Below are 27,053 nucleotides of genomic sequence, written 5' to 3'. Positions count from 1 at the left end.
CCAGAGGCCCACGTCCCGACATCAGTCTTCTCAACTGCTTTCTTCTGTTATTACCTTGTCAACAACAGTATCCGGAGACCTAAAGGATAACTCTGCATGATGATGCAGTGAATGACTGGTTAGGTGCCTCCTGTTTAATAACCAGAGAAATATTGCTGTGCGGCATCTCTCCATATGCTGTGGCATCTGCGTCTGGCATGTAAGGGACTAATTTTCTTCACATATCTCATTAAAGATGTAAAGCAAAATGGAGGGGCTTCCAGCCTAACTCTTGCCCAGCCCGCCTGCAACTCACGTTTCTTACCATCTGCTGCCATCTAGTGGCCACTTGTCTCTTTTCTGCATCTGTTGATTTTATAACGGGGCTGAAGTTTTGGCCCTTGTGAAACAGAGGTAAGACAGTTACATAAAAACCGTAATCCTGGATCTCCTCAGATTCCTCGTGGCAACTGAGGGTTGATTCTCACCCCGTGACATCCACCTAGGCCACCGTGATATTGCCTTCTGGGGCTCGAGAGCCTTCTCCGCTGTGGAGAGATATGCTCTGTGGACTTTCTTACAAATCTGTCCGCATTCCCAACTCTAAAACTGACTCATAAAAACCTGATACACTGGGCAGTTCTTTCCAAAAGGCAAGGTGAATCCTCTGATCTTGGGGCAGACAGAGTCCCACACTCCGTGCTGAAATCCCCCCGATTCTTGAGGAATCCCCAGAGGTTGGGACAGAAAAGGCACCCAGAGGAAGGGAATTCCATGGGTCTTTTCCAACAGCCCACCTGCGCATCTCCACACAAAGTCCTTGTGAGAGGAAGCCCACTTCCATCGCAATTCAGGACTCACTTTTCCGAGGCTGATCTTGTCTGACATTTGCTCCGTGGTCTGTGCTGGCATCAGAGTGTGTTTTCGGCCGTGATTCGTCAGCGTGGGGCTTGGGATAGCTGTGAAACACTCCCCAGGATGGAAAACACAGTGTGACATGGAGGGCTGAACTTATTGCAACTCGTGAGAACGGTGAATGAAGAGCAGACAGGGCCCGTGCCAGCTGCAGGGTTTAGGCACGGGGTGCAGGTGCCTATGCATCACCGTGGGCTCCTCACACGAGAGGATGGGGCCCGCACCTCTGGGCTACGTGCTAGACACAGAGTGATGTTGCTTTTTGTCATCAAACCAAGCAGTTGATATTCTCTTTAAACCTCAGCATGTGTTCATAAATTTCATTAATTGATTCATTCTTCCATATGTACTCAGCTCTAGGATATGCAGTGAAGTAAACACAAAAAACAAGAGTATGACAGTCTCGACCCTTGAGGATCTTATTATTAGAGATGGAAGTAAAAAAGAAGCATAGCAGTCAAGGCTGTATTAATTCTCCATATAAAAAATGTCTAACATACGAAGTAGGGATTCAGAGAAGGGTCACTAGCAGTTACAACAGCTGAAGACTGTATCATGGAAGTAAATATTATAATTCAAACTGCCAAAGGAATTGCAGTTGATGGTGAAATGCTCTCTAAGATGTGTGGCCTCCTAAGCCCCCGAAGTCTAGGCACTCTGCTCCAGCTGTTGTCTCCCTGAGTCGGAAGACAATGGGAGACAGGGGAATCTTCTAGGAACCCATTCATTGACCTGTAATGGTTTTCTTCCCCTCCTTAATATTACTGTTCATTCATTGATTGACATGTTCATCCATTTATTCATTCAAGAAACCTATATTGTGCCAGACCTGGAATTACAGAGATAAATCCAAAAGTATTTCATAAATTTTCACACTAGGTTGCCACTGAGTTGGAGCTTCATAGAACAGAGACAAGCCAAAATCACTAAAAATTGCTGTCTCCATCTTCAGGCACTTGTGTTAGTTTCCCGTTGATTCTCTGCTGCTTTTAGATTATCTGCCCATGGGGTTCTTTCGCTTTCTCTCTGCTGACCCCAGTGTTCTGCTGTGTTTTTTCACAGTCCGTTCATACCCTTACCTCTGGAGGTGAGGGTGAGACAAGGTTCCTGGTACTTCTAGTCAGCAGGGATGATGGTCAGAGAGAACATTTTATTGGTCATGTGGAAATAATCTAAGCACAAACAAACAAATAAAAGACCTCTGCTTTAGTCTTGATTAAAAATCCCACTAGTTTGCAATGGTGTTTGATATGCCTTGTGAGGAAGAAATTCTATTATGTCAAATTTTCAAAAGTCTGTGCTGCTGTGATAAAGATACTTACATTCCATAACCACAGAGTTCAGTGAAAAGGGGCTGTTAGGAGACCAGACAGTTTGGGGAAAGGTTTTATGTAATTTAAATTTACAGAGGGTTGGCCTCTCCTTGTGTTTACTGACAAGGAACAAGAAGCTTCAGTATCAACTCCCTAGGAATATAACCTTTAACAGCAAAGCATTTGATCAAAAAGAGCTCAGAAAAGTATTATATTGTTCACTTAATCCTCAGAATGTTTGTGTAGGAAGATAATTTGTTTAGTTGAATGATAAATCAACTCACAACCTTTTATTACTTAACTGATTCCTTTCTTTCTCTCTGATGTGGTCTTTTCTTTCAGTCAGAAGAACTTTAGACCCTCCTGGTTTTCCCCCTCCTCTCCCTTGGGCCTACTTTTTTCTTAGCAAACCACAAGAAATAAGGGTCCATAGTAGGCATTGCCCAGGGCTTGGTTTCTTTGCCAGTCCTGTAGTTGGACATTTATATTCTGGAGACAGAGGCTTCCGGGGAGCAGTTGGTATCAGATGATTTATACATTTCTGTGAGTGCTGAGACACAAGATCCAGCTGCTTGTTGGCTTAGCTGTGTCGTAGAGTTGGGCTGGATTACCTTGGTCTTATTCATAGTGCCTGGACAAACAGGCAACCCTCCATACACTATCAGCTCCAGGTCTTGGAACCAAAGTGAAGCCAAAGATCAGAGTCTGTGTCTTCCTTCCCTCTCTCTTCATTTCTGGAAACATCACAAGAAAGAAGAGAAATTCTGCTCAATTTCATGGGATTGTGAGGGTGTTGTCATTTGGAGTCTAATGTGGATCAGTGGGAACCACAGCCCGTGAGCTTCCCACATCTCCCTTGATCCCCCGTCATGTCATGTCTTCTCTGAGCTTAACTGAGTTTAACCCCCAACTTGCAAGCCAGGAACTGGGGAACGGAATTTAATTTTCCTTGTGCATCTACTGCATGCCTTCAACTTCCCCACAACACTGACTCATATAACTTTCACAGCCAACCAAGGTATGTATTACGTTCTCGTTTTATGAACAAAGAGGACCTAGGAGGTTAAGTAACGTTCGCAAAGTTTTAGAGCTAATTGTGCTAGAGATAGAACTTGAATCTAGATATAAAGTTCTGACAATTTCTATGACCATATACAGCGAAAAGGAAGGAGTAGGCCAATTCTCCTTCTTCCTCTACCTACCACTGTCTTTGTGAAAGGGTCAAGCAATGCTGGGAGGGAGGAGATTCCTTAGCTGTGTCCTTTCCCAGTAGCTCCACTCCCCAGGCCTCCACCACATGTCATGAATCTAATCACTCCAGTGGTCAGCTTCAACTTTCAGCAGGTGCTGGGATTTGGCCAGGGCTTGCCCTGGTAGTCATGTGAAGGGAACAGCCCAGTCACTGTCACATCCTTAGCAGCCCGCTGTCACTCCCAGTGTCCTTAGGGCCAGAACTGACCAGCATCCCAGAAATTCCTGAGCTGAATCTTGTTCCCAGGGACTACTGAACCCCTGAGAAGGAGGGTGGGGGAGAGCCAGATACCCCCACCCACCACTGTGCTTTATCCTCTGACAGGCTGGACCCGAGTGAGGAAGATCAGTGGCAGGAGTGACCTCCAGCCAGACTCCTTCTGCCCTTCACTTTCCCACAATGGGAGGGTGGACCCGCTTGCTCTGGGCCAGTTTCTCATGGGCTTCTCTGAAGCAGGTACTTGCCGATGTGGGAATCCCCATACTCTCAGGGGACCCTGAGATGTTGGGGACTTCCACCCCTCAGAAGAGGGAGGTGATAAAGTTGGCTGGGACCTGCAGGCTCGTCAGCCTCAACTACGTAACAAGTGGCAGGGCTTGCCTGCTTGTGAGAGGCTCTGTTGTCTTTGGAACAAGTTGAAGGAATTGACATTAATATTTTTGAAGTAAACATAGGCCCTGGAACTCAAGGCACAGGCCAAGCACCCCTCAGGTAAAGCTGGGGCCAAGGTGAAACAAGCAGATGCAGGAAGTGCAGCAGACGAGTGGCCAGAGGACAGGTGTAAACCCCAGAGAACTGGTCAGGACTGACTGCAGAGAGGGTGGCAGACACCGTCACTTCTGGCACAGGCTCAAAGGGGTTTGCAAAGAAAGAAAAAGGAAGAAGTGTTAAGACAGTCTGACGGGTGATGAGTGTTCTATTAGGGTGGGATTTTTGCATGTGGGAGAGGACTTCTGATTGGTTTTCAAGTAAACTTTTCAATCTTTGATTCGTTTACTATGTATTGGTAATACATGGGGATTTTCCAGGCTGGGTAGGCCCATACGAGTTTTCCAGTTTTCACTGAATTTGAAAATATGGTCGTCTGCTTTGGGTCTGAGTCTCACATAAGCAATTCTCAACCCCAACTCTGCCTTCTAATCTTAGGTCTTGGGCAAGACTGTTAACCTTTCTGGGCCTCAATTTCCTTGTCTATAAAAGAAAAGGGTTAAACTATGTGATCATCTGGAAACCAACTCTAGGTGCTGAGAAGGCAGAGGTCCCTTCCAGGTGGCCCACCCCTTCCTCGTCCCCTGCAGTCCTCAGGCAGCAGGCTGCCCTTCTGCAATCAGTTTACTTCTGGAAGCTGCTGTAGATACTCAGCCTAATTGGATTTTCCGTGTGTAAAGATGTGAGTAGAGTCACAGAGAGGTTTCCTCCAGGCTCTGAAGGCCTCCAGGATCACTCTGGATGACAAATAGAATTTAATCAGTTGATCAGTGTGCCTAAATCCTCTTGTCATGGTGGTGATGTTTGCAGTTCAATTTCATTTTTATAGAATAAGGGATTCAGTGATTTGGTGAGAAAGGGAGGTGTTTCTTTTGTAACCATGATATTGCCATATTATTTAGCCCCGATTTGAGTGTGGTTCTCTGTTGAGCACCATCCCCAGTGCATTAAATGGAAAGAAACTTCTCTCTTGAAGCTTCCAGTCTGAATCAGCAAGGTGGTTCTCATATGAAAGGTAGACAGATATACAGGCTAGTGCAAAAACACCAAAAAGTTAAACCTGCCTTCCCATGAAGTTGCCATATCTTTGACATTGTGAACAAGCACCAGCAGACAAGTGAGCAAGGAATTAACCATGAGAGTAACATTCCTGTCCCAAATTCAGAGCCATTAATGGTTCAGGAATAGGTCTAGGAGTGCCGAGGTCCTTAGCTGGCACCATCAGCCTACTCCTCTCCCTGATGGATGTGAATAGAGGAAGGAAGGAGAGATTCTTTAATAGACAACTACTGAACAGGAATTTTACATTTACTCTTCTTTTCTACATCCCACTTTTGTAGATGAAGAACCTGAGGCTCACCTTGCTTAAGTGACTTGAGCAGCTTCACGCATCTTGTAAGTAGTAGAGACAGAGTCAAAACCAGATCTTCCTGCCCTCTCTATCATATAAACCACTTACACTGAATTACAAAGTGAAACTGATCTATGGTGAATTGTACTAATGTTCTGCTTCTGCCATGGGCACCAGAGGAGATACCTTTCTTTGTTGACACTAATCTCAAAGGCTAAATTAGATCCCCCAAACTCATTTCCATTAATAACATGTCAAAGGCTTGTGTCATGCGTTAATTTATCCAAAGTGATCTTGATTCTATTTACATTTTGGTGCCACCTTTTAATGTCACCATTTTTATAAATTAAATATGTAATATATAAAGCCAGTCTTCACTTACTGATATGTTAATTTTTAACCCAAACTTCTTAGTCTGACATTCCAGCAATACCGGAGCATTGACAGTTGATAATAGCTCTATGTGCTACCTCTCCAAGAAACAAATTTGCATTTTAACCTGCCCCTTCAATGGCTGAACTTCAAAGGGTCACTGATGAATGCCACAGCAGGTTGGTGGGAATATAATTCTTTTTATGGATAATATTTGTGTGTGTATGTGTGTGTGTGTGTTAAATCCTACCACATAAGTCACTAACCTATGGGTAAGGCCAGTCTTGACCTAAAATGAGGAATTCTGTAAAATTTCAAATGCAAATCACATTTTATTTTTGATGTTAGAGAAAACTGCAAATTGGAACAGCAGAGCTGTGCCTCTGGCCATTTCCTGGAACTACAGAGGAGCAACTTGCCCCGGTTTCCAGTGGGTGATGTTCCTCTTCTGCCACAGTCCCTGGCGATGTTGATGTGATTGCCATCAGAGCTCAGAAGCACAGAGCAGAATCATCCCCTGGAGGAGGATTCCCTTCAGTGTAAGAAGTTCTTACAGAATTAATCCTCAAAGACTGTGGGTGGACTCTGCCAGGTTTTTCCCCGGGTGTACCAGAAGAGAGGAAGAGCCCTCAAATACAGGAAAGTGCTCTTTTCAGTGACAGTAGTTCTTTTGGGCCCTGTGGCTAAGTGTGCTCCCACCCCAGCAGTAAGATCACAGCTAATCCTGAGAGGCAAGAGCTCACACCAGGCTACTGAAAGAAAAAGTGTCCTTTGTGGATTGCAAGAGGAACTGGGACACACTGCTGGAAATGAAGTGGCAGGTCATAAACTATCATAAACTCAGGAGGAGAGGTGTTCCTTTTTGAGACACTCATCACAACTAGAGAGAATGCAGCTAAGAAAATGCAGTCTTTAGGGGGACCTGGACTGTTGAAGTATTTGAGCTATTCGGAGGAAATAGAAACTTGGAAGAGATCTTTGTTCCACTATTATTTGGCAGCCCCTTACCCGCAGCTGCCATTACTCCAGATTCTCTCTGATGATCCTGCATCAGGAGAATGAGTTGACTGGGCACCACTGGGAAATGTGGGCAGCTCCAGGCTGAACTAGAGAAGGGGCATGTCAAAGGTCACTTATTTGTGGCTTGACCCTTTGGAGGCCAGATGTAAGAATCAATTTCTCACAGGTCCCATGCTAACGCTTTTCATATTTATTTCCATCTGAGACTCACTTAGGCTAGGCAAATATCCCATGGGTCTGTACCTCTCCAGTGCTTTCTTGCTCATGTAAAATTAGCTCATTGGAATGAATAAAGAGAATGGTATTACTTTGGCTCGAACACGAATGAGCACTTTCACTTTGTCATAGTGTAAATATTAAAGTTGTAAGAGACAGCCCAGGGACCAACTATTTTTTTTTTAAAGATCCAAGTGCTTGCATAGTTTCTAAAATTCTACACCGGGGAACTATATCCTCATTCAGCACTGAGACTCCTTGGTTCCCTAAAACCAAAGTCTCCAGGTGCCTTCAGGGGCCAACCAAGATGGAGCTCCTTATAGACCCATGCAATGTCAGAACTGGAAAACTTAGAAATCTTTCAGTCCACCCATCATTTTATGGGTGGCAAACTGAGATCCAGAGAATGCTCAAATCTCATAATTAGCTATGAAAGGTTATGATTAAAATGCAAATTTGGGGCCTCCAATTTGGTCCTCTTTTCACTCTCCTTCTTGCTGGGGAAAGAACAGTGATTCCTTGATTGGCAGAGCAGAAAATATCTTCAGTTTTTAGGATGACTTTATTCCCCTAAAGAGTATCTTTGTCACATCTCCTCCTTGTCCATTTTTAGAGACTCTACAGTGTTTAGCTACTGGTAGATTTGTTCTAGTGGATCTGGTACAAATCTTATAGAAATATCTACAATTATTCCATGTTATTCTGAAATTATTCATACAGCATTTCTTCTGTTTTATTAGCCATTTTTAAGGGAGAAGGAACCTAAGATTAATTGCTATGGCTACATGTCATGCTCACCAATGAACTCACCTCATTTTAATCCTCATGATCTATTATAGTAGGAATGCTTGTTGTACATAAGTATTCAGGATTACTGAATCCACTTGAATTTTTTGAGGACAGTGGCCAAATACAATTCTGTGGTCAATTTAGGCTGCTCCTACTGTTCCCTGATGTTAGGCATTTTCTTCCACTAGGTCCTCTGGAAGGATGAAAAACAAGGCATTATTATACTTTTGAATAAAAATGGTTTGCCAAACAGATTATGTTTGTAGTTTGTGCTGTTGAACAGAAATAATAAAGAACTCTACTTGAAGTCTGAAACAAATTCAGGAAAAAATTAAAGGCAGTTTTATTTTACATAGTAGGGAGTAGATTTTAGGAACTCCTTGCTCCTGGGGTAGAGCATATGAATGTGTATTCTAGAGAGATTCAGACAAATTCACTTATGTTAGACAAATGACTTTAAGGGAAACTAGGAATGTTTTCAGGGCACATAACCTTGTATTTAAAAGATACTGTTATTAGATCATTTTTTCTCATTATAAAAATATGTTTTCATTGAAGAAGAAATTGTGGTTTACATACAATTATAAAAAGAAGAGGAAGAAGGAAATAATCTATTATCTCACTACCCAGAGACAATAACTACATCATTTTGGCATATTTCCTTTTAGTCTTTGGTCTTAAGTATATTTTCTGACATTGTTGAGGCCGTTTTGTACATTCAATTTTCTGTTAACTTTATTTTCCCCCATGTAATTTAAAACTCTTGAAAATCTAATTTTTAATGGTGGCATAGTATTCTACTGGGTAGATGTTGCTCAATTTGCTTAACTGTTTCTCTAGTGTTGGATAGTTATGTTATTTCAAATTACGTGAAAGTATGAAAAATATTTAATGAACATTTTGCTTATATAAAATCTGCTCAGAAGACCCTTTTAATGATAGATTTCCAATATTTGGGTCAAGAGGATGACTATTTTAAAAGCTGTTGATACCTAATGCCAAATAATCTACTGTTATACTGTATCAATTTGCAATCATAGCAGTAAAAATGTAATTGCTCTTAATATGCCGAATTTCATCAGCATTAGATTGTGATTGTTTAAAAATAGTTGTTAACTTGATATGAATTATAGCTGTCTTCATTGCATTTTAAAATTTTCAGTGTTTTTTTTCAAATATTCATTAGTAATTTATACACAATTTTTGTATCCGAATTTTGCCTATATATCCATCAGGCTAGTGTTGTCCTTATCCTTTTATATACACTTTTAATATATTAAGCATATTAACATTTGACTGTTATACAGCTCACATACCTTTTTAATTTTTTTTTTTTTTACTAATTTGATACTGATTTTTTAATTCAAACATTTTTAGATATTTGGGAATCTTTTAACTTTATGCACTCAAACTTACATATACTATATATCTCTGAAATTTTGTTTACTGCCTTTACACTTAGAAATTGATTTTCTATCCTGCTGCAGAGGAAGAGGACAACATTTAGATATGAAAGGAATAGCTGGTGGAAAGACTTGGTTTGGGGCTGGATTGGAGTTGATTGTATTAGTTGCTTTGATCTCTAGGTGTCTCCTCCCCATTACCATGCTTCAGGAACCACCTTGGTACAACAAAGAGAACCATTTATCTCAGTGTGATAAGGCTCTTACCGGGCTGAGAAGATAGAGAATCTGTAGGCTGATAGTGAGAGACAGTGAATGTTTTTCTAATTAAATTAATGCATGAAGGGAGAAGACACAATGCCTCCCACTTCCGCAAGAAAAAGAATCTAAGTTCCAACTTGACTCTAGCATTATGTGTCTAAGGAAGTCATAATTCCCAGGAGGACAGTGTCAGCACTGTCCAGAGGAGAGAGGTGTTAAAACTGGATGCAGGTAAAATCCAGTTAACAGAGAGGCAATTTTTGTTGGGAGGTTGGGATTCTTCATAGTGGTTTTTTAGATTTAAAGAAAAATGTACAACCCCCTCTCTCGAGCCGTTTACCTTTCTATGTTCTCAGCAAGCAAATTTCTTATCAGTAATTTGGCTTTTAAAGTATCATGATAATAAGGAGGAGAAGGGAGAGACCAGAAGAGCAAATGCATTGGTATTTGAGGTTAAGCCTGAATCTCGTCTCAATTTACATAGCAGAAGCTTACCTCTGATGGGCTGATCCCCTCTGGGTTTACTAAGAACATTCACCTTCTTGAACATACAGACGAGGACCAATTACTCAACCAAGATACTGCCATGAGGAGTTTCCTCTAGCCATCAGGAAATCCTACTACCACCCCAAAGCCATTTGGAAAACAAGTGTTTTTTTTTTTTGTTTGTTTGTTTTTAAGTGAAGGGAAAAAATATTAATGGATTGGGGAAAGACCAAGTAGAATTCACTAATCCTAATGAAACTAATAAATGGAGCAGTCAGGAAAGAAATAGATATTAATGCCACCTTTCAAAACTTTAAAAGGAGAGGCGTAACCAGGAAAACAAAATACAAAATAAAAAATCTGCTCAGATTTTTTACAAAAGAGCTAATGTTGTAAGGTTTTCACCTCAATTCATCCCTTGAGCAAACACATTTCTGTCAATGGTGGAAAGTTATGGAGAGAAGATGCCAATGACCTGTGCACTCAAGTGTCAGGGGGAGAAAAGGCTGGACAGCAGGGATGTGTGTGTGTGTACGTCTGTATGTGGATGTACACACTTCTACATGGGAATTTGTAAAAAAAATTTTGGTTAAGATTGTGGACTCTGAGACAGATATCTGGATTCAAAGTTTGATTGTAACCCTTACGGGCTTGGTGAATTTGGGCAATGTACTCAGTTCCTCTGAGGCTTGGTTTCGTCATCTGTGAAATGGGAAAAATATTATTAGCATCATAAGGTTAATAATAAGTTTACATGATACAATATATGACACATGACAAAGTGCTTAGAAAAATGCCAGTCACAAATCCCCAATAAAGGTGGACTTTGTTATTTGCATAGGTATATGCATGCAAATATACGATGGTGAAGAAGAAAACCTAAAAAACAAAGTTTAATTATGCAAGTAATATGCTAATACATCCTTATTATAAAAATAAAAGCATTGCAATTAAAACCAAACTCTCCACTGACTGTTCTCCCATCCCACAATATAATTCCCTCTTCCACAGGTACTAATAACAGGGAATTCATCAATGTACTTACAGTCCTTTTGCTGTGCAATATTTAGGGTTTATACTGTACAATATTTTTATCAACATAAATAGCATAATACTGTATATATTATTCTGCAACTTGCATTCTCAATCAATAATGCATTTTGGCAATCTTCTCTTTTCATTATATGTAGATTCGTGTCATTATTTTTAATATATGGAACATAGACTTATTATAACCTGTGATATCACTTTTTACTATATGATTATGTTATTTCCAACTTTTTATGGCCCCAAAATTGCTGCTTGTTCATGCTTTCTTTTACAATAAGAGTAATGCCAAGACTGGGACGCAGTAATTGCTAGGTCATAGAATACATTCCTTTCCAATATGAATATTTACTAACATATATTTTTATGTTGTGATGGGAAAGATATCTCACCTATTTTCCTTGCCACCAGGGTAAAGTGGTATATTAATTTCCTTGTATTGTATATTGTACTCGAGATAGATAACTTGTTAATTATCTTCTAATGTTAACATTTATTCTTTTACAAATTTCATTTCATCATAAAATTAATATGTGCTTATTACATTGAAAATTTGGAAAATACAAAAGAGTGGAAGGAAAACAATCCCCGTATTCCTATGAGGTGAGATGTTCGATACCCAAAAAATGGCGTACTTTCCTAGGAAATTTTTTAAAAACTATAATTTGGTAACAACTAATGTTAAAGATCAGGTTACTAGTATGCTGTTTTGAAATTAACAAGGTAATAAGTTACGGCTTAAAGATACCAATATTTTACATTATTTGAATTTCTGTTGGAAGAATTTAGGAATCAAAAAACTCATGTATTTTATATATTAGTTACAAAGTTAGTATTCCACATTTATGAACTTTTTGTCCTTTTTTGAATAGTATTCTTTTTACAGAGACAAAAAGTTATCATTACTTTTAAGATGCTTCTGAGACCTGTATGGAAATTATAATAGTAACAAGAATTATTTAAAAATTGAATTTAAAAGTTATTTGTGATATTTATTATACTTGGAATATATGCATCTCTAGAATTTTCATGGGTCTTCATAATTTTATGGAGTTAAAAATGTGTTTTCAATGGAATGGTAGTCTAAAACATGTAGTTGGGCAGCATAAATTATGTGAAATTTAAGTAATGTGATATAAAAATTAATAGCCCATATATTCTGAGAAGAATGGGTAATTTTGTGGTTCTCATCAAACTTAAATGAGATTTGCGTAATTTCAGTTGGTGAACAAGCTAAAGGAATCGTAGATTGTTTTTACTCCTGCCACATGGTGGAGCTACTTCAGCTTTAATGGAAAGAACCAGCCATTGTTAGTATGGTATGTTCCACCTGTTGCTTTATGAGCATTTCTATAAGAGATCTTGGTTATTTTATGCTATTATGTTTAATAATCACTTAAATAATTTCAAATTGTTTTACTTCTTTTTATATTAGCATTCATTAGGAGTTGGTACTAAAGCTCATGCTGGAAAATGTGCATTCAGATACATAACTTTTCACAGATGTTAGCTATAATTCACTCCCACAGAAAAAGCCAAACAACTCCCTTGATGTGTTTTACCACTAATTTAGAAAAGAGCAGTTGCTAAATATTGTAGATAATGCTAAGAAAATAAAGAGCGGCATCAAAACAGAAATGTGCTACAAAGTTGTAGGTATTTGGGCTCTGTGAACCAGTTCCCCACGGAAACATAAGCCTTAAATTATGCAAAATTATAAGGAGTACATACCCCTCATAAAACACAACTAACTCACGTTGGGGCTGAAAAACTATAAGCAAACACTGTCACAATATTTTGATGCCCTGCTTTGCTAATACTAATAGTTACTTTAATACTAAGTGAAGGCCTAATAATGTCAAGTAATTTGAATATAAAACAGTCATTGGAAAATAGAATCATAACAAGTTAGATGCTGTAAGCATGGGGAACTCAATGAATGATTGGTGCTAAATTCCCCATTCACATGGCTGTACTGTGTAGAGCTCATCTTTTGTATAAATCACTGTACTACAGTTGATTAGCAATAGTAAAGAATGCTTCATTAAAAGTTAAAAATATTTCTTTCAGTATTGTACTATTGGTGCACAGTAAATTGATTGGCCCATCAAGTGAATTAATTAACAATTCAATATGAATTTGTTTCAAACAAAGGAAAACAAGCATGAAAATTATGTACAAAATGAGAAGAATCAAGTTAATAAGCAAAACCCAGCACCACGTATATATCTTTCATCTATTAAACTCAAAACTGGTGACTTAAATGATGAACTGGATAAAGAAAATGTGGTACATATACACCATGAAATACTACTCAGCCATAAAAAAGAAAAAAGTCACATCCTTTGCAGCAACATGGATGGAGCTGGAAGTTCTTATCCTAAGTGAATTAATGCAGGAACAGAAAACCAAAGGCTGCATGTTCTTACTTATAAGTGGGAGTTAAACATTGAGTACACATGGACACAAAGAAGGGAACAATAGACACCAGGGCCCAGTTGAGGGTGGAAGGTAGGAGGAGAGTGAAGATTGAAAAATTACCTATTGGGTACTATGCTTATTACTTGGGTGACGAAATAATCTGTATCTTGTCAAACCCCCATGACATATATTTACCCATTCCACAAACCTGCACCTGTACCACCTAAACCTAATATAAAAGGTGGAAAGAAAAAAACCTGGTGATTTAGTTTTAGCCAAGTATTATCATTACATTAAATTAAAATTATTTATTGAAGTTGTAGTGGTTTTGAAGCTTTGTGAATGTTTAATTTATATTTTTAAATTGTTGGCATAAGAGCAATAAGCATATAGAGTTTATAAATCATATTATGTTTCTACATGTTTAAATAGTATTATGTTAAAACTAATTTAGTTTACCCTAGGGCCTCTGAAAATTACTTGTCTTTTAAGGAGCTGTATCTGACTCAAGTATGCTATTGGTCCTGGGAACTTTGAGTTTCTTTTGCAGACAGCTTTTCTCTTTTGGTCTGCCTGGAAGAGTCCCTGGAAGGGACTGTGGCTGAAGTCCACATCATAGAATTTATGCTGTTATTTTTGATAATCACTTAAAATAATTTCAAATTGTTTACTTTTATATTGGCATTCAGTAAGAGTTGGTGCCAAAAAGCTCATACTGAAAGATGTGCACCAAATACATAAATTTTAAATACTTGTTAGTTATAATTCTGTGTTCAGGAGGCAGATACTTGAGGAGCACTGTGTAGCTATTGCACAGAGGCAGGTAGCTGAGACTTTGAGCGGGGGAATGATGGTGAGCAAAGAGCAAAGGTAAGCCTCTTTACTGAGCTGGGTTACGAATCTTCTACTTCGTTTCTCTCTTTCTTTCATCGGAAAAGGTACTGTCTGAGAGACCAGCACCATTTGTATAAAATAGATCAGAATGAAGTTCTCTACATTTTAGAATTCAGAGGGCTGAGGCCTTGGCTCAGTCTCCTCTTGGTATTCACCCTCATTCAGGGAGACAGTCTAATATAGAAATTGGGCCTTTTGTTCATCATCTCCTATAAATTTCTTTTTATCTCCAAAAGGACTCCTCGTAGATCTAGATTGATATCCTCATATTTGAGAGGAAAGTTCCTGTGTGCCCCTCTGTCCCTCTCCAAGCATCTCCCAAATCCTAGGTCAGTTGCAGCCATAAAGATCACCAGTGAACCCGTGGAGCATCTGTACTTTTCTTTCTGCCCACATTTGCTATCTTCTGAGATTTAGAAGTTGTGCTGGATTATGCTGGTCAACTTGCTTAAGCAGACAACTGCATTTCTCAGAATCCCCTTTCATGTATCGCTCTGTATTAGCATTGGCTAAGAGATGAAATGGGAAAAGAGTTAGAACACAGAAGTGGTAACTATTACTCTTAGGAAGTCACTGTGGTCACATACAGTGATGGACAGAGGGAGAGATGCTTGGTAGGTCCCATATAGTCCTTGCTTTCCTTCACTCTGCATCCAGCGAATCTTTCTGACTCTTGGCTCTGCTGAACAACAGTGACTCGAGACCCATCACCAACTACTTGGCTGTGGACCCACAGAAGTGGTTGCTACAGACAGGTAACCACTCTCCATACAGTTCTTCATGAGCTCCCCTTCACAGTCCCACTTTGGTGGTTGAAAGTGTTTAGCTTCCTAGATTTCCCCCAAGCCCCAGCCTGTCTGGTCCATCTGTGCTACTGCATAAGATAGACAGGTTAATGACCCTTTTTCTGATCTTCTGACTCCTTCTTCCAGACCTTTCCTTCTCTAGCTTCTCTCACATTTGTAAGGTCTGATTCCACAACGAATCCACTATTCCTATATTCTGTATCATTCACAGTGGTTCTGCTTCCCTGACTGACTCTTAACTGACACAACTATTGGTGTTGGAAGTGAATCCAGAGATAGAATTTTAAGGATGGGAATTTGGTGTTGATTCTCTGATTCGATGAAGCATTAGTGACTATACTGCCAATGGTAAATGGGACACAGTAGTCCTTGATATCAAGTGCTTATAGAAGGCAAGGTGTTAGATTACCAGGTAGATGCTGCCATAGACCAATGTAGTGGAAGTAAGGAGTATGAGGACTGGAGTTTGTGGGTTGCTTCAAAGTGTCACAGAGAATATGGAGAAAAAGAAATAAACTCAGAGTGTTGAATGTTCAGTTCAAGATGCAGGCAAGGGACTGAAAAGTCTTTGTGACTACTCTGAAAGAAACTCTTATCTCTCATAGCTGCAAGATCTGATATTTCAAAAAACCAAGCCCAAAGACTGATCCTGCAGCTAGCTAGATTAGAACATCAATTCAATTGAAGGTCTTACAGTTAAAATTAGGGCTTTGATTGGGACAGAGCTGGCAGGCTGTATCAGGGCAGGAACAAAATGATGAGGTACCATGCCTGCCAAAAGGGCTGCAGGATTTTTCTAATTTATATTTACATTCCAAAAGTTTAGACTGTAATTTCTCCTTCTTTCCTCCCCTGAAAATTGAGATGGCAACATGTAGGCAGATTCTTTGGAAGCTGAGAACCTTGAAAGCCCTGTCTCCTTTCCCAGCAGAAGCAGCCTTTCCCTCTGAGGAGTTTAGTCCTCCCTTGATTGAAAAGGCTGTAAGGACTTACTCTGTGGAAAATTGCTGAGACCCCTCAAGACTCACCCCCAACATCTTTCACTGTTTGTATGCCTATAGCTAGACTCAACTCCTGGCAACCCATATCAGGGCAGGAACAAAATGATGAGGTACCCTGCCTGCCAAAAGGACTGCAGGATTTTTTCTAATTTATATTTACATTCCAAAAGTTTAGACTGTAATTTCTCTTTCTTTCCTTCCCTGAAAAGACCTAAAGCCATTTGCCAAGGTCATAGTGCATTTGGGAAGGGTAAATAACCAGACCTTTGGGGGATTTCTGGACATTGGCTCTGAAATGATACCAGTCCTTGGAGACACAATATGCTACTATTGCCTATTTACCAGAGTAGGGGTTTATTGAAGCTGAATGATTAATGGTATTTTGGCTCAGGTCCATCTCATATTGCATCCAGTTAGCTCTGAACTTACCCCATGGTTATTTCCCAAGTTCTAGAATGCTTAACTGAAGGAGGCACACTCAGGAAAGGCAGAATAACTACATTGATTATCTGATCTGAGGAGTGAGGACAAGTAGAAGGCATTAGAACTGCCTTTGTATTCCAAACTAGTAAATCCACAGCAGCACTGCATTCTGTAGAGACTTGTAGAGATTAGTGCCTCTATAAAAGATTTAAAAGATGCAGGGCTGGTGATTTTCACCACACCTCCATTCAACTCAACTATCTGGCCTGTGCAGAAGACAGATGGATCTTGAAGAATGACAAAGGATTATTGTAAACTTAATCAGGTGGTGAGTACAATCACAGCTGCTGTTCCAGATGTGGTTTCATTGCTATAGTAAATCAATATATGTACATCTAATATATGAATACTGATATGGGAAGTCATTTTTTCCTCTATATACATGTTAGTAGAGACTATCAGAAGCATTTTTCTTTCATCTGGAAGGGTGAAACAAGGTACCCTCCTTGTTTCACCTCAGGGTTATATCAACTCTCCAACCCTGGCCTATTCTATTCCACAGGAAATTGATTGCCTCTTCATTTCACAACACACCACATGGATCCTCTACACTGGTGGACCAGGAAATCGCAACTACTTTAGACACCTTGGTAAGACCCATAGAGGCAAGAGGTTGTGAAATAAATCCCAGAAAAATTTAGAAGTTTGCTCCTTCAGGAACTTTCTTGGGGTTTCATGGTCTGGGGAAAGTTGAGATATCTCTTTCAAGGTGAAGTTCAATGCTACATCTGGTCTCTCCTACCATAAAGAAAGAGTCCCAATTTCTGGTGTGCCTCATTGGATTTTGGAGGCAACATATCTTATTTGGGTGTGTTGTTATAGTCTAAACCTATTTGCTGAATGAGTAATCTGAAAGGCTTCCAGTTTTGAATAAGGCCTGGCGAAAGACAAGCCCTTGTGAGAGGGTGGCAAGCTTCCCTGCCACTTTGGTCATATGACACATCTGATTCAGTGGTGCTTAAAGTGCCTATTGAGCTTTTGGCAGGCCTCTTAGGTAAATTCCAGAACAGACTTTTAGAATCTGGGAGCAAAGCCATGCCATACTCTGCAGATAACTTTTTTTTTCTTTTTTCTTTTTTTTTCTTTTTCTTTTTCTTTTTTTTTTTTTTTTTTTTTGAGAAACAGCTCTTGGCTCTTTGCTGGATCCTAGTATTTGACCATGGACCATTAAGTATCATGTGACCAGAAATGCCCCCTATGAAATGAGTATTGCTTAACCCACCACCATGTTCTGTTGGTTATAATCAAGTCACAGAGCCAGTCCAGATCAAGGGGAAGGAATTATGCAAAATTCCGAATACTGAGAGACATAGTTCATTGGAAGACCATCTTTGGAAACCAGCAGCTATCACAGTTTCCTTGGATATTTTCTGAATAGAGAGATTCTTACATTAATAACTGTTCTCTTCACCAATAAATATTTATGGAGAACATACAGTATGTGCAGAACCTGAACATAAGTGGAAGAAACAGGGAAAGCATTGCACCTTCCTCAAAGTTTGTGCATTCTACCATGAAATATTCACACTAACATTGAAGCTAAGAGTAGGCTGGAAATCCCAGAAGTGAAAATTAATATACTGGTACTGATGGTCAATGGGTGTATTATAGCTCTCTGTGGTGAAATAAATAGATTGATAATGGGCTTCTGTATATAGTTGTATCAACAATAAAACGATGGAATGCTTTCTAGCTCAAGATTTTTACAACCCAATGATCCTTAATCTGGTAACTCATTCCTCATAAGACTCATTCCTCATAAGACCTGCTTACCTCAAAGAATTGTTTATGAGGATACGTTAAAATAAGTATCAGAAAGGACCTTGTAAACTATAAACAATGGTACAAATGTAAGAGACAGTTATTGCATTTTCAAAAAGAACTCATAATAGGCGTGATGTAAATATTTGTTGAATAAATGAATGAGAAAATAAAATAAATTCTTGAGACAAATTTAATATATGGTTACCTGAACTATTGTTATTTTTCAAGTTCAGCCTCATTATACTTGCCAATTCTTGGTGTTTGTGTCTTAATCCCTTTTTTTTGTCCCATATTCATGGCTTGGGAAGAAAAATAAGCAGATGAAAGGAAAATTAAAGTCAGAGAGACAGTGTCATATTTAGGTGATAAATAACATCATTTACTTATTTATACATGTATCAGATCTTTATTCATTTGTTGAATAATTCAGACAAAGTCCTGGGCTTTTTGATACTTAGATTCTTTTATAAAAAATGACTTTTATTTTATTTTAGTTCAATAATTTTTTGGGGAACAAGAGGTTTTTGTTACATGGGTCCATTCTTTAGGGTGATTTCTGAGATTTTGGTGCACCCGTTCTCCCCTGAGTCTCCAGAGTCCATTATATCATTTTTATGCCTTTGTATCCTCATAGCTTAAATCCCACTTTTATAGGTGAGAATATACAATATTTGGTTTTCCATTCCTGAGTTAATTCACTTAGAATGATGGTCTCCAGCTTCATCCAGGTTGCTGTGAATGCCATTATTTCATTCTTTTTTATGGCTGAGTAGTATTCCATGGTATATATGTGTATACATTTTCTTTATCCACTCGTTGGTTGATGGGCATTTAGGCTGGTCCCATATTTTTGCAGTTGTGAATTGTGCTGCTATAAACATGCATGCACAAGTGTATTTTTTGTATAATGACCTGTTTTCCTCTGGGTAGATACTGAGGAGCAGGCTTGCTGGATCAAATGGTAGATCTACTTTTAGTTCTTTGAGGAATCTCCACACTGTTTTCCATAGGTTTCCATTCCCACCAACAGTGTAAAATTGTTCTCTTTCACCACATCCATGCCAACATCTTTGATTTTTGGATTTTTAAAAAAATTATAGCCATATTGTAGGAGGAGTAAGGTGGTATCACATTATGGTTTTGATTTGCATTTCCCTGATAATTAGTTATATTGAGCATTTTTTTTCATATGTTTGTTGGCCATTTGTATATCTTCTTTTGAGAATTGTCTATTCATGTCCTTAACCCACTTTTGGTTGGAATTATTTGTTTTTTCTTGCTGATTTGTTTGAGTTCCCTGTAGATTTTGGATGTTAGTCCTTTGTCAGATGCATAGTTTGTAAATATTTTCTCCCACTCTGTGGGTTGTCTGTTTACTCTGCTGATTATTTCTTTGGCTGTGCAGAAGTTTTTAGTTTAATTAGATCCCAGTTGATGCTTATATTCTGGTGGAATATATAAAATATATATTTTATATATAAATATATATAATATATATTTATATATAAATATATATTATATATATTATATATAAATATATATAATATATATTTATATATATATATATAATATATATTTATATATAAATATATATAATATATTTCAAAATATATAAATAATTTCAATATATATAAAATATAAATTTTAATTTATTTTTATATTATACTTTGTTATTGGATACATGTGCAGAACATGCAGGTTTGTTACATAGGTATAGGTGTGCCACGGTGGTTTGCTGCACCCATCAACCCCTTGTCTACATTAGGTATTTCTCCTAATGCTATCCCTCCCCAGCCCCCAACCCCCCGACAGGCCCTGGTGTGTGATATTCCCTCCGTGTGCCAATATATTCTCATTGTTCAACTCTCACTTATGAGTGAGAACATGTGGTGTTTGGTTTTCTGTTCTTGTGTTAGTTTGCTGAGAATGATGGTTTCCAGCTTCATCCATGTCCCTGCAAAGGACATTAACTCATTCCTTTTTATGGCTGCATAGTATTCCATGATGTATATATGGCACATTATCTTTATCCAGTCTATCACTGATGGGCATTTGAGTTGGTTCCAAGTCTTTGCTATTGTGAATAGTGCTGTAATAAACTTACGCGTGCATGTGTCTTTATAGTACAATGATTTATAATCCTTTGGATATCTACCCAATAATGGGATTACTGGGTCAAATGGTATTTCTGGTTCTAGATCCTTGAAGAATTGCCACACCGTCTTCCACAATGGTTGAACTAATTTACACTCCCACCAACAGTGTAAAACTGTTCCTGTTTCTCCACATTCTCTCCAGCATCTGTTGTTTCCTGATTTTTTTTTTTTTTGTGGTTAGCGGAATTATTTTAATCCCATGAGAATACTATAAAATTAAAAATTAACATAAAACAGTCATTCATCATCTCACTGGCCAGAAATAACCCCTGTGGATAAGTGAGAAATTGTTACTTTAGTAGCTGGCATTAGAGATTTTTCAAGGTAGGAAACTATCTTTAATTAGGAAAGTATCTTTTTTTAAATACACACACACACACACACACACACTATATATATATATATATATATATATATATATACTTTAAGTTCTGGGGTACGTGTGCAGAACGTGCAGTTTTGTTACATAGGTATACACGTGCCATGATTGTTTGCTGCACCCATCAACCCGTCACCTACATTAGGTATTTCTCCTAATGCCATCCCTCCCCTAGTCCACTGACCCCCAGACAGGCCCCGGTGTGTGATGTTCCGCTCCCTGTGTCCATGTGTTCTCCTTGTTCAACTCCCACTTATGAGTGAGAACATGTAGTATTTGGTTTTCTGTTCTTGTGATAATTTGCTGAGAATGATGGTTTCCAGCTTCATTCATGTCCCTGCAAAGGACATGAGCTCATCCTTTTTTATAGCTGCGCAGTATTCCATCGTGTATATGTGCAAATTTTCTTTATCCAGTCTATCATGGATGGACATTTGGGTTGGTTCCAAATCTTTGCTATTGTGAATAGTGCCACAATACACATATGTGTTCATGTGTCTTTATAGTAGAATGATTCATAATCCTTTGGGTGTATACCCAGTAATGGGATTGCTGGGTCAAATGGTACTTCTAGTTCTAGATCCTTGAGGAGTTGCCACACTGTCTTCCACAATGGTTGAACTAATTTACACTCCTACCAACAGTGTAAAAGCATTCCTGTTTCTCCACATCCTCTCCAGCATCTGTTGTTTCCTGACTTTTTAATGATCACCATTCTAACTTGTGGGAGATGGTATCTCACTCTGGCTGATTTGCATTTCTCTAATGACCAGTGATGATGAGCTTTTTTTCATGTTTGTTGGCTGCATAAATGTCTTATTTTGAAAAGTGTCTGTTTATATCCTTCGTCCACTTTTTGATGGGGTTGTTTTTTTCTTGTAAATTTGTTTAAGTTCTTTGTAGATTCTGGATATTAGCCCTTTGTCAGATGGATAGATTGCAAAAACTTTCTCCCATTCTGTAGGTTGCCTGTTCACTCTGATGATAGTTTCTTTTGCTGTGCAGAAGCTCTTTAGCTTAGTTAGATCCCATTTGTCAATTTTGGCTTCTGTTGCCCTTGCTTTTGGTGTTTTAGTCATGAAGTCTTTGCCCATGCCTATGTCCTGAATGGTATTGCCTAGGTTTTCTTCTAGGGTTTTATGGTTTTAGGTCTTACATTTAAGTCTTTAATCCATCTTGAGTTAATTTTTGTATAAGTTGTAAGGAAGGGGTCCAGTTTCAGCTTTCTACATATGGCTAGCCAGTTTTCCCAACACCATTTATTAAATAGGGAATCCTTTCCCCATTGCTTGTTCTTGTCAGGTTTGTCAAAGATGTTTGCAGATGTGTGGTGTTATTTCTGAGGCCTCCGTTCTGTTCCATTGGTCTCTATATCTGTTTTTGTACCAGTACCATGCTGTTTTGGTAACTGTGGGCTTGTAGTGTAGTTTGAAGTCAGGTAGTGTGATGCCTCCAGCTTTGTTTCTTTTTTTTTTTTTTTTTTTTTTGCTTAGGATTGTCTTGGCTATATGGGCTCTGTTTTGGTTCTATATGAAATTTAAAGTAGTTTTTTCTAATTCTGTGAAGAAAGTCAATGGTAGCTTGATGGGAATAGCATTGAATCTATAAATTACTTTGGGCAGTATGGTCATTTTTATGATATTGATTCTTCCTATCCATGAGCATGGAATGTTTTTCCATTTGTTTGTGTCCTCTCTTATTTCCTTGAGCAGTGGTTTGTAGTTCTCCTTGAAGAGGTCCTTCACATCCCTTGTAAGTTGTATTCCTAGGTATTTTATTCTCTTTGTAGCAATTGTGAATGGGAGTTCACTCATGATTTGGCTCTCTGTTTGTCTATAATTGGTGTATAGGAATTCTTGTGATTTTTGCACATTGATTTTCTATCCTGAGTCTTTGCTGAAGTTGCTTATCAGCTTAAGGAGATTTTGGGCTGAGACGATGGGGTTTTCTAAATATACAATCATGTCATCTGCAAACAGAGACAATTTGACTTACTCTTTTCCTGTTTGAATACCCTTTATTCTTTCTCTTGCCTGATTGAGAACTTCCAATACTATGTTGAATAGGAGTGGTGAGAGAGGGCATCCTTTTCTTGCCAGGCACTATATTATACAGGATTGAAGGAAAAACCTCTCTGATGAGGTGACTTCTGAGCAGTGACTAATTGGTTTATCAGAGGGAACCATCTGGGGTAAGGCCATTCAAGAACAAAGACCCAGAAGTGAAGCCTGGTTGGTATTCAAGGAACATCTACATTATTCTAGGGTAAGAGTGACCACAATAGAGTGGAAAAGGTAAAGAAAGATAGGAAATATTCAGTAAACTTGAAAGTTTTCTGTCTGTCACATTCCGTGTGACGCTGAGGATACCAAGGTTAATGAGATACAATCTCTGTCCTTAGGGAATAGAGTATCATACAGAAAGCTGGTATTATAATATAATGGGAAAATCACTATGTTGGAGGTATGTACAAAGTTCAAGGGGAGCCAGAGAGAAGAGAGCCTAATTTGCCTGGAAGATCAAGGGAGGTATCAGAGAGGAATGTCTAGGAACCATGAAGAAGAGGTGGTGATGAGGTTGGACACTTCAAGCAGAGGGAAGGACACACGCAACAATGAAAGGAAGAGAAGTGATAACTTGTGATGTTTCCTGAGTTTGGTAGTTTGGTATTTCTAGAGTGTCAATGCTGATGAGAAGTGTTCCAGGAGATGAAGTTGGATTGGTAGCTAAGGGCATATGTAGGCTTGTGCACTGCCAAGCCTGAAGAATTTTGAGAAGTGAAGTAAAGTAACTAAATTTCCTTTTTACAGAGTCATGAGGCAACTGGTTAAATGGTGGCATCATTAACAAAGACAAGAATTACGGAGGTAGAAGAGTCTGGAGCAGGGGAGGTGAAGAGATGATGGGTTTTAGGCATACAGTTTAGGTTGCCCAATGGCCATCTGACCAAAAGACAGTTGGATGTAGAGATCTGAAGCAAAGTCAAAGTTAAAGCCATAGCCATTAGTATATAGGTGTTAGTTGCAATTGTGTTGTGGGCAGAGAAGTAGACTAAGGTTAGAGCCAGAAAAACAGCAACATTTAAAGCAGAAGGGGAGGAGAGTTAATACAAATCACCATAGTATCACTGACCGCATTGTACTCTAATATTCTATTCATGAGCCTAACTTCCAAAATGGACTGTGAACCCCTTGAAGAAAATAATTATAGCTCATCTTTTTTTGTGTTTATTTTCCTAGCAACTGTCCAAATGCCTTGCACATGAGACACTTAATATATATGTATTTAAATGAATAAATAATTAGGACTCTAAGACTTGACATTTCTGCTTAGTACTTCTGTTAGTGGTATATTTCACAGCAGTAGTTCATTGTGTATTTTTACCTTTATTACTTTTAAAATTACACAAGGAACACATATTTATTCAAGAAAAATTAGAAAAAAGAAAAGCTAAAAATTACACTTTACTACTAGGAATAGCTATTGTTAACATTCTCATGTCTATCCTTTTAAACAACTGCTATCAGTAGAAATACAATATGAACCACATATATAATTTAACAATGTTTAGTGACTACATTAAAGGAAATCATAAATAAATATATAAAATTATTTTCACTTAACCCAATATACCTAAAATATTGTCATTTCAACATACAGTCAGCCTGAGCACCATAGTAAGATTCTGTCCCCACAAAAAATGGAGACCCTGATGGCTGACCATGCGACCTCCATGGTCCTTCTGTACTTAGATAGGCAAGACTCACTGGCTTGGTGGTGCCTGAGTGGGGGAAATGTTCTCACTCTCAAAACACTGAGAGGGTTGAGATGCCCTGGTTCATGGACCAGCATGAAAGTGGGGTGCCTCTCTCCACAGGGCTGGTCTGGGAAGGAAGTGGCCTGTCTGCCAGCCATGACCTCTATCTGAGGGAGCCCCACAGCCCAGAACACCTAACAAAGGAAACTTGGGCATGACCCCAGTGATTGGAGGGGGCTCCTCCAAGGCCCAGGAGTGAACCTGGTGAGGGAGTTATCTCTCTGCCTTACCCCACCACAGAGCACTATTGAGAACATGGTGAAATACAAAAGAGCTGCATGGCTGAATAAGAGCCTATCTGTTGGTCATCACTCTTAAACACCATCTACTGCATCACAGTCCAAATTACAACTGCCAAAATATTTTGCCAATGTACAGTGCCTGTGAAACCTAAGACAAGAATTCAGCTACAAATAAAGATCCTGTACAGAGCCTTGGCCCTCTGAAAGCACCCAGAAATGAAGCCAACTGACTATACTCAACTTAAAGAAACACTAGCCCTCTCAGATGAGAAAGAATCAGCATAAGAACTCTGGCAATTCAAAAAGCCAGGATGTCTCCTTACCTCCAAATGAGCACAGTAGCCCCCAGCAATGGTTCTTAACCAGACTGAAATGACTGAAGTGATAGGTATAGAATTTAGAACCTGGATGGTGAGAAGCTCACTGAGATCCAGGAAAAAGTTGAAATGCAATCCAAGAAATCCAAAGAATCCGGTAAAATGATCTAAGAGCTGAAAGACAAAATAGCCATTTTAAGAAAGAACTAAACTGAACTCCTGGAATTGAAAAATTTACTACAAGAGTTTCCACATACAATCAGAAGCATTAACAGCAGAATAGACCAAACTGAGTAGAGAATCTCAGAGTTTGAAGACTTGTTCTTTAAATCAACTCAGTCAGAAAAAAATAAAGAAAAAAGAATGTTAAAAAAAGAACAAAACCTCTGAGAGATATGGGATTGTGTAAAGAGATCAAGTCTACAATTTATTGGCATTCTTGAGAGAGAAAGAGAGAGAGTAAGCAACTTGGAAAACATATTTGAGGACATAATCTATGAAAATTTCCCCAATCTTGTTAGAGAGATTGACATACAAATTCAAGAAACACAGAGAACCCAGCAAAATACTATACAAGATGATCATCCCCAAGGCACATAGTCATCAGATTCACCAAGGTCAATGCAAAAGAAAAAATATTATAGACAACTAGAGAGAAAGGTCAGGTCACTTATAACTGGAATCCCACAACACTATCAGCAGACTTTTCAGCAGAAAGTTTACAAGCCAAAAGAAATTGGAGACCTATTTTCAGCATCCTCAAAGCAAATAAATTCCAACCAAGAATTTCATATCTCACCAAACTAAGCTTCATAAGTGAAGAAGAAGTAAAATCCTTAACACAGAAGGAAACTCTAAGGGAATTTGTTACCACCAGACCAACCTTATGAGAAGTCCTTAAGGGAATGCTAAACATGGAAATGAGAGATTAATACCTGTTATGACAAAAACATACTAAGCACATAGCTCACAGACAATATAAAGGAATTACACAATCAAGTTTATAAAACAACCAATTATCAACCCAATGACAGGATTAAAATCCCACATATCAATACTAATTCAGTATGTAAAATGGTCTAAGTGCCCCACTTAATAGACACAGAGTGACAAGCTAGATAAAAACTCAAGACCCAATTTTCTGATGTCTTCAAGAGACCAAGCTCACGTGTAACTACACTCACATGCTCAAAGTAAAGGGATGGGAAAAAATGTACCACACAAATGGAGAACAGAAAAGAGCAGGAGTCACTATTCTTATATCAGATAAAACAGAGTTTAAACCAAAAACATTCAGGAAAGATAAAGAAGGGTATTACATAATGATAAAAGGTTCAATTAAACAAGAATACTTAGCTATCTTAAATATATATAAGCACTCATCATTGGAGCACCCAAATTCATAAAACAAGTTCTTCTTGATCTATGAAAAGATCAAGGTGTAGACAGCTACACCCTAATAGTGGGGTATTTTAACACCTTACTGACACCACTAGACAGATCATCAAGGCAGAAAACTGATAAAGAAATTCTGGATTTAAACGTGACACTAAACCAATTGGACCTAGTAGACATCTATAGAATGCTCCACCTAACAACCACAGAATAGACATTCTTCTCATCCACACAGGTACATATTCTAAGATCAACCACATGCTTGG

At 38.6% G+C, this 27,053-nt stretch overlaps 1 long non-coding RNA gene and 1 further gene across 2 annotated transcripts in view, besides 2 other annotated features; one reads left to right on the top strand and one right to left on the bottom strand.

The window, feature by feature from the left end:
- The window catches only part of TRD-AS1 (TRD antisense RNA 1), a 103,555-nt gene extending 95,047 nt beyond the window's left edge, over window positions 1-8,508 (top strand). For both annotated transcript variants that reach the window (NR_148361.1, NR_148362.1), the window contains 3 exons: window positions 5,508-5,562; window positions 5,933-6,069; window positions 6,239-8,508. This is a non-coding gene — a long non-coding RNA (TRD antisense RNA 1). The remainder of the gene's footprint in view (window positions 1-5,507; window positions 5,563-5,932; window positions 6,070-6,238) is intronic.
- Window positions 1-27,053, bottom strand: part of TRA (T cell receptor alpha locus) — a 930,229-nt gene that overhangs the window by 164,220 nt on the left and 738,956 nt on the right.
- Window positions 12-241: an enhancer, noted in NCBI's record as "active region_8114". NCBI's record gives its function as "activates an Ori minimal core promoter by ATAC-STARR-seq in GM12878 lymphoblastoid cells {active_cell/tissue: GM12878}" and the evidence as "EXISTENCE:reporter gene assay evidence [ECO:0000049][PMID:35858748]".
- Window positions 3,550-4,259: an enhancer, noted in NCBI's record as "active region_8113". NCBI's record gives its function as "activates an Ori minimal core promoter by ATAC-STARR-seq in GM12878 lymphoblastoid cells {active_cell/tissue: GM12878}" and the evidence as "EXISTENCE:reporter gene assay evidence [ECO:0000049][PMID:35858748]".

The sequence above is a fragment of the Homo sapiens genome, chromosome 14, assembly GCF_000001405.40.
Source record: "Homo sapiens chromosome 14, GRCh38.p14 Primary Assembly".
Lineage (NCBI taxonomy): Eukaryota > Metazoa > Chordata > Mammalia > Primates > Hominidae > Homo > Homo sapiens.
Note: the sequence above shows the minus strand (reverse complement) of the source record. Positions and strands in the feature narration are given on the sequence as shown.